This window comes from Homo sapiens, chromosome 21 (genome assembly GCF_000001405.40).
Source record: "Homo sapiens chromosome 21, GRCh38.p14 Primary Assembly".
Lineage (NCBI taxonomy): Eukaryota > Metazoa > Chordata > Mammalia > Primates > Hominidae > Homo > Homo sapiens.
The window spans coordinates 43,610,830-43,627,135 of NC_000021.9; the positions used below are offsets into that span (position 1 = coordinate 43,610,830).

Here is a 16,306-nt window from a genome sequence, read left to right on the forward strand (position 1 = left end):
ACTCTCAGACAGGTTAGCAAAGAGTTTATCAAGGATGCTCACTACGGCATTATATTTGTCAAGTAAAACCCGAAAGTAACTTAAATGCCCATCAGTCAGGGAAGGATAATCCAAATATTACATCTCCTTTGATGCAAGGTACTTAAAAGGAATGAACTAGATCCACAAGCAATTTGTAAAATTATACCCCCAAACAAAACCATCTATGCCAGCCTGGGCAACATGGAGAGACCCCGTCTCTACAAAAAAATTTTTAAAATTTAACAATTAGCCAGGCATGGTGGCATGCACTGACGGTCCCAGCTGCTCAGAAGGCTGAGCTGGGAGGATAACTTAAGCCTAAGAGGTCGAGGCTGCAGTGAGCCATGTTCATACCACTGTGCTCCAGCCTGGGTTACAAAGCAAGACTCTGTCTCAAAAAAAAAATTTTTTTTGCATATATGTTACACTGTATTATATGTATTATGTATGTATAGATATTTGTTAGCACAAAATATTAAAATGGACTAGAAAGCTTGGTTCTGGATAAGATGGCCTGAACACACCCTCCAGTCTCGCTTCCACTGAATGCAGCTATAAATTCCAAAGAGAATACATGAAGCAGCTATTTGAGGACTCTGAAAAGTAAACAGTAGCAGGCAGATAGGGGAAGAAGATCAAAATTTTAAGAACCACTAAACCAGCAGAGAGTTTACCACTTTTTCCTTTAGTGTCCCTGGCCTGGACTCGAGGGAGCTCCAAAACCCAAAAGTAGCCCTGAGCCACACAGAGAGCACCAGGAGAAGGTCTCTAGTGAGGCTCAAGGAGTGGGAAAGGGGTCTCCTGCCAGCAACCAAGCACGGTAGCAGTGGGGACATCCCCCAGGTAACTCAAACTCTGGGGGAAAGGAATTTTTTCCTTACACCTGAAAGCTCTAAGAGCTTCTCAACTCCTGCCGCAGGGCGGGATGAGGGCAGAGTTGCAGGCACTTGGACACAGCAGGGTATATGAAGCCCCAGCATTCCAGGTGGGGGACTGAAAAAGGCAGTCCCAGGTAACTAAAGTGTACCCAGAGAGTTAACAGCTCAGAAAAGTGACCCCAAAAAGTTGTTTATAAATTCCTGGCCTCATCCCAAGTTGTGCCTGTGTGGATCTGATCATAAACAGTATCTGAAAGACTCTGAACCTAAGATCCAGACCACCCAGGTCTCAGACTGGCCACTGGGCGGCACTCACGAGGGGCAGTTCCAATAGCACTGTAAAGACTCTGAAAACAGGACGACACACTGAAACCAAACAGAGAAAAGGCTGGCTGGAATCTGACCCAAAGGGGTTGACTGCCTGTGAAAATATAAACACCAGCATTTCCCAAGGATTTAAACAAGACCAGTGATCACGTAAATGTCCAGGATAAATCCAAAATTACTTGGCATATGAAGAAACAGGAAAATCTCAACTCTCATGGGAAAAAACAATCAAGAGACACCGAGGCCAGGATGACACAGGTGTTGGAAGCACCTGGCACAGACTTTACAGAAGCTCTTACTTTTTAAAAGTGCTAGGCCGGGCGCAGGGGCTCACGCCTGTAATCCCAGCACTTTGGGAGGCCAAGGCGGGTGGATCACGAGGTCAGGAGATTGAGACCATCCTGGCTAACACGGTGAAACCCCGTCTCTACTAAAAATACAAAAAATTAGCTGGGCGTGGTGGCGGGCGCCTGTAGTCCCAGCTACTTGGAAGGCTGAGGCAGGAGAATGGTGTGAACCCGGGAGGCGGAGCTTGCAGTGAGCCGAGATCACGCCACTGCACTCCAGCCCGGGTGACAGAGCAAGACTCCGTCTCAAAAAAAAAAAAAAAAAAAAAAGTGCTCCACAGCAGGGGATGGTGGCACATGCCTGTAGTCCCAGCTACTCAGGAGGCTGAGGTGGAAGGATTATTTGAACGCCTAGGAGTTTGAGGCCAGCCTAGGCAAGGTCTGTAGAGACTCGGTCTCTTTAAAAAAATAATTAAAAAATAAAGATGCTCTAAGAAGTCAAAGGCAACACTCAGAACGAACAGTGTGAGTGGCAGAATCCTACACTGCCCCTCTCCCCAAGATTTCCTGCCCTAATCTCTGGGACTATAAATTATCACACGCTGATTATGTCATTGCCTGGAAAAGAGGATTCTGTAGATGTAATTAAGGTTACTAACCAGCTGACTCAAGAGTTAATCAAAAGGAGTTTATCCAGGTATGCCTCATCTAAACACACAAATCTATAAGAAGCAGAGTTTTTGCCTTCTTGAAGTAAACTTTTTAACAAAAGAATAAAAGCAGAGAGAGTTTCATCTTGCTGGTAGCAGAAGAGGAAGTCTCAGAGACTGGAAACGTGGGAAGGATTCAATGAGCGACTGTGGCTTGAAGATGGGGTCCCTGTGAGAAGCAATGCAAGCTGCCTCAGCAGCTGACCCACAGCTGACCAGCCAGCTGGGAAACAGGGAACTCGCTCCTAGAAACCAAGACACTGGACTCTACCAGCCACTTCAAAGTGCCCAGAAGCAGATTCCTCCCCTAGATTCTCTGAAAAGATCCCACCCTGGAAAACACCTCACTTTTGACCTATGCAGAGAACCTCTCAAACCCACTCAGACTTCTGACTTGCCAAACTATGAAATAATAAATGGTGTTGTTTTAGCCACCAAGTTGGTGATAATTTGTTACATAAAAATAGAAAACAAATACAGATTTTAGTAGCTGGAAGACAGATACCTATTTAAATTCATTTTGACATACCCATGAAGTACCATGTGATAATACTGGGACTCACTGATTGCTCTAAGGTGAGAACATTCCTTCCTTAAATTTATTTTCTAAAATGCTATTTAAGAGACAGTGCACGCCCTTAACTTCTCCAGGAATTTATTTCTTCTAGTTTTTAAAACTACCACCAAAATTAACTGTGTTTACTTGAAGAGAGGCCCAATCAGCACAGTCTAATTAATATGTAAATAGAATTAACTTTTTAACATTATCCACCATACACTTTGAGTTTGGTACACTGTCCTGGCTTCAAGTCTCCCAGAAGCTGCAATATGGTGTCCAAGAGCACCCGGCTTGAATTAACCAAGAATTCACGACCACATGCTATAGCAGCAACATCTGCAACAGAAAATGAAACAAAACATCAAGATCATTATGACTCAGAACCTAGACAATTTTGTGCAGAACAGAGTATTTTCTCCTAAAAGACCTAATGAAAACACAGCTGAAAATGAGGCATTTATAAATGAAATTGCTAGGCATGGTTGTTCACACCTGTAATCCCAACATTTTGAGAGACTGAGGTGGGAGGACTGCTTGAGGCCACAAGTTCAAGACCAGCCTGGGCAACACAGCAAGACCCTATCTCTACAAAAAATTTAAAAATTAGCCGGGCACGGTGTGTGCACCTGTAGTCCTAGCTATTCAGGAGGTAGAGGCAGAAGGATTGCTTGAGCCTAGGAGGTAGAGGCTGCAGTGAGCCATGATCATGACACTGCACTCCAGCCTGGGTGACAGAGCAAAGCCCTGTCTCAAAAAAAAAAAAAAAAAATTATCAACAAAAATGACAGCTCAGAAAGAATCACTGACAACCACAAGAGTTACTGAAATATCAAGTAATGTGCAGTGTGATTAGCAAGCGCCGAAAGAGTGAAACAGAGCCCTGGAATCTAACCAAGTCTGCGGTCACTATGCTCCAGAGTGCTGCATTAAACAGCTGTGGGCAGTCAGGGTCCAAACATAAGGTGGGGGCTGATTATCTTATCTGGGACTGAGGATGTGAAAATTCACTTTTAATGGCATCCGTAATCTGAAAACCCAAAATCCAAAATGCTCCAAAATCTAAAAATTTTTGAGCACTGACAAAGATGCACAAAGGTCATGCTCACAGAGCATTGCAGATTTCAGATTTTTGAATTAGAGTGTTGAACCAGTAGGTATAATGCAAGTATTCCAAAATCCAAAACACTTCTGGTCCCGGGCATTTCAGATAAGGAATATTCAATCTATATTTGCTAATAACTTTTAGCCATGATACAAACTGAAATTATATGTAGTCAAAAAAGAGTATGAAAATGGATTTTGAAGAAAACTTATTTTCTCAATTTTATGTCCCATTGTGGAACAGCAAGTATCCCATTTCTTCATGCCTGAGGCCCTGCGAATCGGCCTGAAGACCAGACCGAGTAATTACACTGCTCCCAATGGGCAGTGCTGCAGCCATTACTGGCTCCATCAACATTTCCAAATACCTCGAAGTATCCAATGATCCAAGTGCATTTATGTATGTGTTTGTTAAGAGTTTTCTTTAGTTGGGTCTGACAGTAAAGCATGATTCAAACTGACTAAGATTTCTAAGCCAAATGACGAGACCAAGGTGGAAAAGAGATGGGGCAGCAGCACTGCCTTGCTCCTGATTTTAATGGAAACGCTTCTAAAAATTCACAGTTAAGTGTGATGTCTGATCTGTTTCTGGTAGATACCCTTTATCAGTTTAAAGAAGTCTTCTTCTATTTTTGGCTTGCTAAGAATTATCAAAAATGGAAGCTGAATTTTATCACTTATTTCTTCTGCCTTTGACTGGATGTAATCTGATGGCAGAATATAAAATTTCATGTTACCCGGCCAGCTTCATGAACTCAGATCTTTGACATTACTATTTACTTTTGTTCACCTGGTCTCAGATGGACCACAAGAGGGATAGTAAAGTCTACTAAACCTAACAGATGTTTCCCCCTTTCTACTTGTCTTTGCAGCATTTTAACTATATCATTGGTGCAGTGTCTTCAAGTACACGCTTTGATGACAGCCATAACTTTATTGACAGAACCTTTCAATGACATAAACTTACCTTCTTTGGTCAATGAATTTTAACCTGATAGGTACATTTTCCAGAATATGACACATTCTAGTTTTACTAAGGAAATATTTTAGGAGAAAAACAAAGCAAGTAAGCATTTGGCATCAGAAACACATAAAAGATAGCTTTTAGGTAGCTTTTCAGGGGAAAGCATTATTCATGTAAATAACTTCAGATAATATACTGAAACCCAGCAGAAACCCAGATGTTGGAGAGCAGCAACAGCAAACTGTCCCTGCCAAACCTGACCAAACTGTAGACCCATGATCAAGATAAATGTTAAGACTTTATATTTTGAGGAGGTTTGTTACACAGCAATAGAAAATAGAAACATTACTAATACATCGCTGAAGAAAAAAAAAAAATATATATATATATATATCATAGCAAGCAACATAGAACTATTTGGTAGCCTGACTCCAGAGATGGCTACCAGGTGGGCCTGGCCTCATGTTCAGACCCTTGAGTAGTCACCTACACTGCGACTCACTTGTAACAAGTAGAACGCAGCAGAATGCACACCATGAGCCTTCCAAGGATGGACAGGAAGAAGCCTTAAGATTTCCACTTTGGTCTCCTGCCACTTGCTCTAGGATCCCTGAGTCACTATGAAAGAGTCCAGCTACCCTAAGGCTGCCATGATGAAGAGACCACACAGAAATAGCACAGTGAAGGCCAGATGTGGTGGCTCACGCCAGTAATCCCAGCACTTTGGAAGGCCAAGGTGGGTGAATCACCTGAGGTCAGGAGTTTGAGATGAGCCTGGCCAACATGGCAAAACCCTGTCTCTACTAAAAATACGAAATTAGCCAGGCGTCGTGGCTTACACCCGTAATCCTAGTTACTTGGGAGGCTAAGGCAGGAGAATCATTTGAACCCAGGAGGTGGATGCTGCAGTAAGCCGAGATTGCACTACTGCACTCCAGCCTAGGAGACAGAGCGAAACTCTGTCTTTAAAAAAAAGAAAAAACACGGTGGCTCACGCCTGTAATCCCAGCACTTTGGGAGGCCGAGGTGGGCGGATCACGCGGTCTGGAGATCAAGATCATCCTGGCTAACATGATGAAACCGTCTCTACTAAAAATACAAAAAATTAGCCGGGCGCGGTGGCAGGTGCCTGTAGTCCCAGCTACTCCAGATGCTGAGGCAGGAGAATGGTGTGAACCTGGGAGGCAGAGTTTGCAGTGAGCTGAGATCACACCATTGCACTCCAGCCTGGGTGATAGAGCAAGACTCCATCTCAAAAAAAAAAGAAAAAAGGAAAAAAAGGATAAGAAATAGCACAGTGAAGAAGCCTTGAGACTCTATGAGGAAAGAAGAGAGAGAAAGACACCCCACTAGCCCCCAGCTGTTCCATCCCTCAACGATTTGAGTCATCCCAGCTAAGGCCCCAGATGTTGGAGAGCAGAAGCAGCAAACTGTCCCTGCCAAGCCTGACCAAACTGTAGACCCACGAGCAAGATAAATGTTAAGACTTTATATTTTGAGGAGGTTTGTTACACAGCAATAGAAAATAGAAACATTACTAATACATCGCTGAAGAAAAAAAATATATATATATGTATCTCATAGCAAGCAACAATGCCCAACACAACAAATGTACTGGTAAATGAAGTCTGTATCATATATCTAGTATTTTAACTGCAAATGCCAATGCTGCATTTCATTAAATATCACTAAAACATGAACTACAAAGTAAAATAAATGTGAATAAATTCCTACACAGCTTCAGTATTTGTCAATCTGTTGGAATTTCTTTGTTTTACATGGTAATTTGTACTTTGCTTACTGATATTTAATCTATCTAGAATGCCTGTGAGTCAATTCAAGGCCTACAGAATTGACTTTGTTACCATCTACCAAAACTAAAAAACTGCCAGTTAATTTTTCTGTTAAAATGATTTTTCTAGGTTCATTTTTCATTAAAAGTGCTTATAGGTAATTCTAGAGATTAGTATAGTAATTACATAATTCAAGAAATGGGGCCAGGTACGGTGGCTCCCACCTGTAATCCCAGTACTTTCAGAGGCCAAGGCGGGTGGATCACCTGAGGTCAAGAGTTTGAGACCAGCCTGGCCAACATGGAGAAACCCCATCTCTACTAAAAATACAAAAATTAGCCAGGTGTGGTGGCATGCACCTGTAATCCCATCTACTCAAGAGGCTGAGGCAGAAGAATCACTTGAACCCGGGAGGCAGAGGCTGCAGTGAGCTGAGATGGTGCCACTGCACTCCAGCCTGGGCAACAGAGCAAAACTCAGTCTCAAACAAAAAAGGAAATAAATCTGGGCCAAGCATAGTGGCTCACACCTATAATCCCAATACTTTTGGAGGCCAAGGTAGGAGGATCACTTGAGTCTAGAAGTTTGAGATGAGTCTTAGGCAACATAATGAGACCCCATCTCTACAAAAATAAAAATAAAAATTAGCTAGGTGTGGTGGCTCATGCCTATAGTCCCAGCTACCCAGGCTGAGGTGGGAGGATTGCTTGAACCCGGGAGTTTGAGGCTACAGCGAATTATGATCAGGCCACTGTACTCCAGCCTGGGCAATTAAAGTGAGACCCCATTTAAAAAAAAAAAGAATCTGGTGTCAATTATTTGTGCTGAAAAGGATATACAGAGTTGAGACGTACTATGTCTGATACTTTTGCTTTAGACTGTAATAGTTTCATCTTATTTTGAGCAAAAAAAGTAATAATAGGGTATTGGCAGAATGATAGACATATAAATCAATGGTAGAATTGAGAGTACAGAAATAAATCCTCACATTTATGGTCAACTGAATTCCAACAAAGGTGCCAAGACAAATCAATGGAGAAATGATAAAAGAATAATCTTTTGAACAAATGGTGCTAAAACAACTGGATATCCACATGCAAAGGAAGGAAGTTGAATACCTACCACACACCATATACAAATATTAACTCAAAATGGATCAAAGATCTGAATATAAGAATTAAAGCTGGCCGGGCGCAGTGGCTCACGCCTGTAATCCCAGTACTTTGGGAGGCTGAGGCGGGCAGATCACGAGGTCAGGAGATCAAGACCATCCTGGCTAGTATGGTGAAACCCCGTCTCTACTAAAAATACAAAAAAAAAAAAAAAATTAGCCAGGCGCGGTGGCAGGTGCCTTAGTCCCAGCTACTCAGGATGCTGAGGCAAAAGAATGGCGTGAACCCGGGAGGCAGAGCTTGCAGTGAGTGGAGATCGCACTGCTGCACTCCAGCCTGAGCGACAGAGCAAGACTCCGTCTCAAAAAAAGAAAAAAAAAAAAGAAAAAATTAAAGCTATAAAATTCTTTATTTATTTTTTTGAATCTTACGCTGTCACCTGGGCTGGAGTGCAGTGGCACAATCGCAGCTCACTGCACCCTCAACCTCCTGAGTAGCTGGGACTACAGGCCTGCACCGCCACACCCAGCTAATTTCATACTTAACAGACTAAAGTACACTGTAAACACAACTTTTATATATGCTGGGAAACCAAAAAATTCATGTGACTCACTTTATTGTGCTATTTGCTTTACTGCAGTAATCTGGAACCAAACCTACGGTATCTCTGAGGTATGGCTGTATTTCAAAATCATATCTCTGATAAGGTACTAGTATATTACAAATACCTCTTACAACTCAGTAACAGAAAGGAAAATAACCCAATTAAAATATGGGCAACAAGGAGTTTCTAGTTCCAAATGGTGGCATAGAAGCAAGTTGGCTTCACTGCCTCCCAAAAGAAAACCAAAAACGAACATACAGCAGCTCCAAGATTATCAGCAGCAATATCCCAGAACTCTAAATATGAGGCTCAGACAGCTCTCACGGCAACAGACAAGTGAAAAAACTCTGAACAGACAGTAAGACAACTGGACTTTCATACCTGTGACACCCGTCTCCATAATGTGCCCAGCACCAAGCGTGAGGAAAATTTCCACAACTCAGTTGCTACACTGGAAAAAGCAGATGGAGGTGAACAACTACTGTCCCACCATCTTAGGTTCCCTGGCAGAAGACCTGTCCCTGCTTCAACCCATGGGAACCACTGTAAGTACCTGAAGGGAAACTATCCCTGAGGATAGCCAGAGGCAAAGTGGGGAAGCAGAACTACTATTCCCAGCCCTGGAAACGCTGCTCTGTAACTTGGCCAGAGAAGACACCAAATCAGAGCGGCTGTTCAGCAGATGCACACAGTAGAAGGTATGTCCCACAGGTCCCCTGGGCACAGACGCCTTGCCAGTATTCCCACACTGCCGGGTTATCCTCTTTGTGACCTCCCCCATTCGGGATGGGCAATACTCTGATGGTTCCCTAGAGCCAAGGTAAACCTGGGCTTAAGGCACCATCTAGTGCCTATAAAGAGGCAGCAACCTAGCAGAAAAAAAGGAAGAAATTCAACAAGTAAATTACAAAGAATCTCTAAGTAAACATATCCAATAAAAAACAAAATAACCCAGACAGACAAGACTGGAATAAATACTCTTTCAATGCAAAGACATAGACATATATCCATAAGAAACAACAGGAAACAGGGAACCACGGCCTCCCCAAACAGACAAAGCAAGGAACCAGTGACTGTCTCTAACAAGATGGCAATATATGAGCTCTCTGACCAAGAATTCAAAATAGTAGTTTTAAGGAAATTCAGTCATCTCCAAGATAACATAGAAAAGTAATTCGGAAATTTGTCAGAGAAATTTAATAAAGAGATTGAAACTTAAAACAATCAAACTGCTGGGCACAGTGGCTCATGACTGTAATCCCAACACTGTGGAAGGCTGAGATAGGGGCCTTGGGGCCAGGAGTTTGAGAACAGCCTCAGCAACACAGCAAGACCCCATCTCTACAAAAAACATAAAAAATTAGCCAAGCACTGTGGTGATCGCCTGTAGTCTTACCTACTCAGGAGGCTGAGGTGGAAGCACTGCTTGAGCCCAGGAGTTCGAGGTTGCAGTGAGCTAGAATTGTACCACCAGACTCCAGCCTGGGTAACAGAGCAAGATCCCATCTCTAAAAAATCAACATCATCATCATCATCATCATCATCACCATCATCACCATCATCATCACCATCAAACAGAAATCCTGGAACTGAGAAACACATTTGCTGAACTGAAAAATTAATTTGAGGCTCTCAACAGCGGAATGGATCAAGCAGAGAATCACTGAGCTCAGAGACAAGCTATCAAAAACACAGAGAGGAGAAAAAGAAAAAACCAAAGGAATGAAGATCACCTACAAGATACAGAAAATTACCTCAAAAGACCCAATCTAAGAATTATGGTGTTCAACAAGGTGATGAGCAACAATAAGGGGTAGAAAGCTTATTCAAAGAAATAACAGAAAACTTCCAAAACTTAAGATATAAATATCCAGCTACAGGAAAACCACAGAACACCAGAGTCAACTTAAATGAGTGTACCCCAAGGTATATACTAATCAAACTCTCAACATTCAGAAATAAAGAGAGAAACTTAAAAACAGCAAAAGAAAAGAAACAAGTAACAAAGGAACTCCAATTCATCTGGTGACAGACTTCTCAACAGAAACTATACAAGCCAGGCTGGGCACAGTAGCTCATGCCTGTAATCCCAGCACTTAGGGAGGCCAAGGCAGGCAGATCACTTGAGGTTAGGAGTTTGAGACCAGTCTGGCCAACATGGTGAAACCCTGTCTCCACTAAGAAAACAGAAATTAGCCAGGCGTGGTGGCACATGCCTGTGGTCTCAGCTACTCAGGAGGCTAAGGCAAGAGAATCACTTGAACCTGGGAGTGGAAGGCTGCAGTGAGCCGAGACTGTGCCACTGCACTCCAGCCTGGGCAAGAGAGCAAGATTCTGTCTCAGAAAAAAAAAAAAGAAGAAGAAGAAACCATATAGGCCAGGAAGGAGTGGGATGATATTTTCAAGGTTCTGAAAGAAAGAAAACACTATATAAGAATATCGTATCCAGCAAAGCCATCCTTCAAATATGAAGGACTAATAAAGTCTTTCCCAAACAAACACTGAGAGAATTTAACACCAACCAGACCTATCTTAGAAGAAATGCTAAAGGAAGTTCCTCAAACTGAAAGAAAAACACACTAACATGCAGAAAGAAAAAAATTGAGGGTATAAAACCCACTGGAAAAAGAAATACTTAAATAATATATAAAATAAATATAAAACACACTGGTACACAGACAACCCCAGAATACTCTAATACTGTACTCATGATGTGCAATCCATGCAAAACTCTAGTGTGAAGCCTAGAAACAGAAACAATCAGAGCTACAGCGACCTATTAAAAGACAGGTAATATAAACACGTAAATTGAGATAACAAAAAGTCAAAATATGGGGGATGGAGTTAAAGTATAGGGGTATTTTTAGTTTTTTCTTTGTTTCTATTATTTTTTGTGATCAAAGATAAGTCATCTCTTTAAAATAACCTGTTATATCTAAAGATTTTTTTGTAAGCCTCATGGTAACCACAAAGCAAAAATCTGTAATAGATGCACTAAAAATAAAAAGCAATGAACTAAAACACACCAGAGAAAATCACTTAACCATAAAGGATGACAGTAAGAAAGCAAGAAAAAAGAAGAGGAGTTACAAAACAACCAGGAAACAAGCAACAAATTAGCAGTAATAAGTCCTTACTTATCGATAGTAACATTGAATATAAACAGATTCAATTTTCTAATTAAAAGAAATATGGAGTGGCTGAATGGAAAGAAACAAGACTTAACTACATGCTGCCTACAAGAAACCCACTTCACCCATAAAGGCACATACAGACTGAAAGTGAAGGGTGGAAAAAGATATCTATGCAACTGGAAACCAAAAAAAACAGGAGTAGCTACATCTATATCAGACAAAATAGACTACAAGTCAAAGACTGTGAAAAGAGACCAAGTCACTATATAATGAAAAATGGACCAACTCAGCTAGAGGATATAACAATTGTAAATATCTATGCACCCAACACAGCATTATCCAAGTATATAAATCAATCATTAATAAATCTAAAGGGAGAAATTGACTGCAGTACAATAACAGTAGAGACTTCAACATTCCACTCTCAGTAATGGCCGGATGGTCCAGACCAAAAAAAAATCAACAAAGAAACATCAGAGGTAAACTACACACTAGACCAAATAGACCTGAATCTTTACAGAACATTTCACCCAACTGTTACAGAATATACATTCTTTTCATCAGCATATGGAACATTCTCCATTACAGACAACATCTTATACCACAAAACAAGTCTCAACAAATTCAAAAAGTAGAATCATATCAAACAGCTTTTTTTTTTTTTTCGTAGAGATAGGATCTTGCCATGTGCCCAGGCTCGTCTGAAACTCCTGACCTCAAGCAGTCCTCCCACCTGAGTCTCTCATAGTGCTAGGATTACAGGCATGGGCCACTATGCCCAGCTCAGGTATCTTTTCTGACCACAATACAATAAAACTAGAAATTAATAGCAAGAGGACCCTCAGAAACTATATAAACACATGGAAATTAAACAACATACACCTGAACAACCAAATGCGTCAATGAAAAAATTGGGAAGAAATTTAAAATTTTCTTGAAACAAATGAAAATGGAAAAACAACATACCAAAATCTCTAGGACATGGCAAAAGCGATACTAAGAGGGAAGTTTATAGCAATAAATGCCTGTATCAAAAAAGTAGAATGACTCCAAATAAACAATCTAATGATGCACCAAGGAAATAGAAAAGAACAAACTAAACTCAAAAATACTAGAAGGAAAGAAATAATAAAGATCAGACCATAAATACATGAAATTAAAACTAAAAAATGCAGAAAATTAATGAAACCTCGAGAGCCTCAAGGTTATCTCCGTAGTCCAACAAGTGTCCATGCCCAGAAGAGATCTTGTAGACGACACTCCCATACCAAAGCCTGACTTTATGCTGTTTGTTAAGAGGGTCTCATCTTAAAAGTACAGAGTCAATACAAGGCTGGTGATGAAGTCACCTGGGTCAAGGTTCCAGAGTGGTCTTCCTTCTTATAGTGCCTCAAATTATATTTGTTTGCTACCTGTTGCATTAAAAGTTTCTGTTCAGCTATTGTCCTGACAGATGATTCAACAGGTGATTCCGCAAAAAAAAGACGAAAAAATAATGTTGATCAGTGCTCAAGTTGTAAATCAACTCTCTCCAAACTAACCTCACCTTTCAGGAGGTTCAACCACAATGGGGGAAACAGGACAATGCTAATGATCTCTCCTAGAGATCAAGGTACATGAGAAACAAATGGGTGCTCAAAGAACCAAAAACAGCAACAAGGACTCCTGCACACCTAGAAAAAGATGGGCTGTTCTGAAGACATGGGGAAAGGGAGCCACCAGCACATAAAATGGTACAGTCACTGTGGAAACCTGTCTGGCAGTTCCTCAAAAAGCTAAACAGAGTTACTACACCCTGCTATTCCACCCCGAGGTAGATACCCAGAAAAACTGAAACATACATCCACACATAAACTTCTGCACAAATGCTCGTATCAGCATTATCCATAACAGTCAAAAGGTGGAAACAACCCAAATGCCTGTTTATTGACCCTTCACTGCTGACTTAGACTCTGACAACAGAAGACCAGTAAGTTTAAGCTCAAAACTGGCACCTTATTCTTCCACATGCAGAGTCACACAATTCTAGGACTGGGATACCATAATTGTCATCTAGTGTCAGACTCTTCTCAGAAGACAAAAACCGAAGGTCATATATTCAAGAATACAGGGTTAGTCAGTGGCAGAAGCAGCAATGGACATGAGGCCTCAAGCCCCACCTGGCCTTTTCTGCACGCCACACTGCCTCCATGTGTTGGTGTGAGCGTGTGGAGGAGGAGGGATTGGCAGGCCAAGAGCAGCCACGGTCACTGACACAAAGGTGCTCTGCTGGTAACTTTGTGTAACTAGGAAGGTCCCTGGAAGACTAAGCTGGATCCAGTCCTGCCCCCAAATTATCAATCATCAAAAAGTAATTTTGATGCTGCAATTATTATCTAACATTATTTGAATACATAAACCAGAGACAAGGAGTACAATCATGATTTTCAAATCACTGAAAAGCAGAAAAAGCATTTAAAAGATTTCACTAGGAAGTTAAGCAGTTAATCTTCACAGGACTGTGAAGATTTCCGTCTCTTTCACACTCTTCATTTGCCCTCTTATCCAAGTTACTGGAAACAATCACATTGATATCAATGTGCTATCATTTACTACGGTTCAGTAGAAAATTCACAATATGTAAAGTAATAAGAGCAGATGTTACTATTCCACCTTACAGATGTCCAGAGAACTGACATCCTGGGAAGTAGATTCACTGAGCCAAACCTCTGCACTACACTAACCTATCATTAAAGAACAGTGACTACAGTTGAGTAGAAATTTAACAATTTCAAGGTTTAAATAAATTTCTGATTTCCAGCTTTAGCTTAGGATACAGAAAACTGGTAACAGCTACCCCATTCTTTCCGGGGGCAGAGGGAGAGATAATTTACCAAAATCACAGGTCTTCTTGAACACATTAGAGAGCTAAGGCTGGACATCAGCCAACCAATCTGAAAAATGACGAAAGACAACAGCCTCCAAGCAGATACATGAAGCAAGCACTTGCTCACCTGGGGCATATGCTGGACACCATACAAGGCAGCAAAAAAAATAAAAAATAAAAAAACCCCAGCTAAAATACTGAACAAATCACAAAATCAGTGGTTGCCTTGGGCTGGTGATGAGTGGAGAACTGGACTACAGAAGGATGGCGTGCAGGAAGTCTGGGGGAAGGAATTAGTTCCACAACCTAATTGTGGTGGGTAAATGACTGTATACTTTTGTAGAAATTTACAGAACTGCAAAAAGGTTTAAAAAAAAAAACTAAAGAATGAATTCACTGTATGTAAAATTTTAAAAAGAACATTTGTTTCAGAAGGAAAAGGATCCATTTGAGAGCTAACCCATGGTCTCTATTACCTATCCCCACAGGATAGTCTTGGTATTTGAGACTCATAAGCCCCCAAGCCTCTGCAAATCAGCACTTTAATAAAATATTCTTCCCAGTCAAATTCATTAACATGCAAATATAAGTGCCCACTATCCAACTCTTCATAAGAGTTCCTATGTAAACCACCACAAACACAGGAAAACAGCCGCGCTGAGCTTGAATGCTGGGCAACAGGGCGGCTTCACTCACAGCCCACTGCCTCACCAGCATGTCAGCCAGCAATTCAGGCAGCTCAGATTCACAACCAGCAACATGACAAGTCACATAGGTCATACGCCTTTGGGGTCACTTGCAAAGAGAAGAAAACGCAAATTATTTAATTTGCAAATGCCTTCTGTTAAAAGACAACCTTCAAACAATGTTTTTAAAGGGAGGGCAATGCAAGCCTGCTACAACTGTAGGTGCCATGATGAACGTATAGAATGCTGCCCTGCACTGGAGTAAGGAATAGCCAGAAAACATCACAGTCTCAGCATCCACCCCGCAAGAACTATCATCAAGTTTTAAAGGATTAAGAAACAAATGTCTACACAGACCTACCCCATTAGGATTTCAATAAAAGAATAACACCAAAAGAAAAATAAAATTTTCTCTCACTTTAACAGCAGAGAATTTTCCTAAGAACAGCATGGGAAAATAATAAAGCAAATAAAGCAGAGATTAAAGATCAATGTAAAAAAAAAAGTCTGAAATTAAATAATTCAAACTTAAAGCTGTTGGGACTTTAAATTATCCCAACCATTGTGAGGAATGTAGATATGCGGCTGCAAATTCTGCATTTTTCTTTCCTGTAAATAATTAAGACCAAACTGCTGAAGATAAGACTTCCTCAGATAACCCTCCTTGGAATGTAGCAATCTATAAACAGTCAAATCACTGTGGCACACACACTGGTCTTGTATGGAAAATGTTCTAATCCTGCTGGAACTTCTCTGTCTCTGCCTATATCAGTGATATCTTCTTCACTTTGGAACCCTGACCCCACTGGTTTGAAGTTGGTGTTTCTGAGTGGCCACCGTCAAGCTCTGTGCACAAATAAACTCTGTACTTAGTCATATTTTCTGAATCTCGTTAAGGCTGATAAGTCACAGCAATGTATTGAACCATTTCACTGACTTCAGAACAAAGAGCCTCAATACTCACTAGTACATTCCACCTCTTTCTATACCAAGAAATTTTTTTTTTTTTTTTAAGAGACGGAGTCTTGCTCTGTCACCCAGGGTGGAGTGTAGTGGCACGATCTCAGCTCACTACAACCTCCACCTCCCAGGTTCAAGCAATTCTCCTGCCTCAGCCTACTGAGTAGCTGGGATTACAGGTGTGCGCCACCACGCCTGGCTAATTTTTTTGTATTTTAATAAAGACAGGTTTCCCCATGTTGGCCAGGCTGGTCTCGAATTCTTCCTGACTTCAAATGATCCACCCGCCTCAAGCCTCCCAAAA

At 41.2% G+C, this 16,306-nt stretch overlaps 1 protein-coding gene across 17 annotated transcripts in view, besides 1 other annotated feature; it reads right to left on the reverse strand.

Moving 5' to 3' along the window:
* The window catches only part of HSF2BP (heat shock transcription factor 2 binding protein), a 214,517-nt gene that overhangs the window by 165,858 nt on the left and 32,353 nt on the right, over positions 1–16,306 (reverse strand). For 15 of the 17 annotated variants that reach the window (XR_007067782.1, XR_007067781.1, XR_007067780.1 and 12 more), the window contains one exon: positions 3,001–3,118. The exons of the other annotated variants lie outside the window; for them this stretch is intronic. Coding sequence is in view for 12 of the 15 variants with exons in the window: in XM_017028269.2 (XP_016883758.1) it covers positions 3,001–3,118 (118 nt within the window). In the remaining 3 variants the exon portion in view is untranslated. The remainder of the gene's footprint in view (positions 1–3,000; positions 3,119–16,306) is intronic. 17 annotated transcript variants of the gene reach the window in all.
* Positions 3,170–3,229: a silencer, noted in NCBI's record as "silent region_13361". NCBI's record gives its function as "represses an Ori minimal core promoter by ATAC-STARR-seq in GM12878 lymphoblastoid cells {active_cell/tissue: GM12878}" and the evidence as "EXISTENCE:reporter gene assay evidence [ECO:0000049][PMID:35858748]".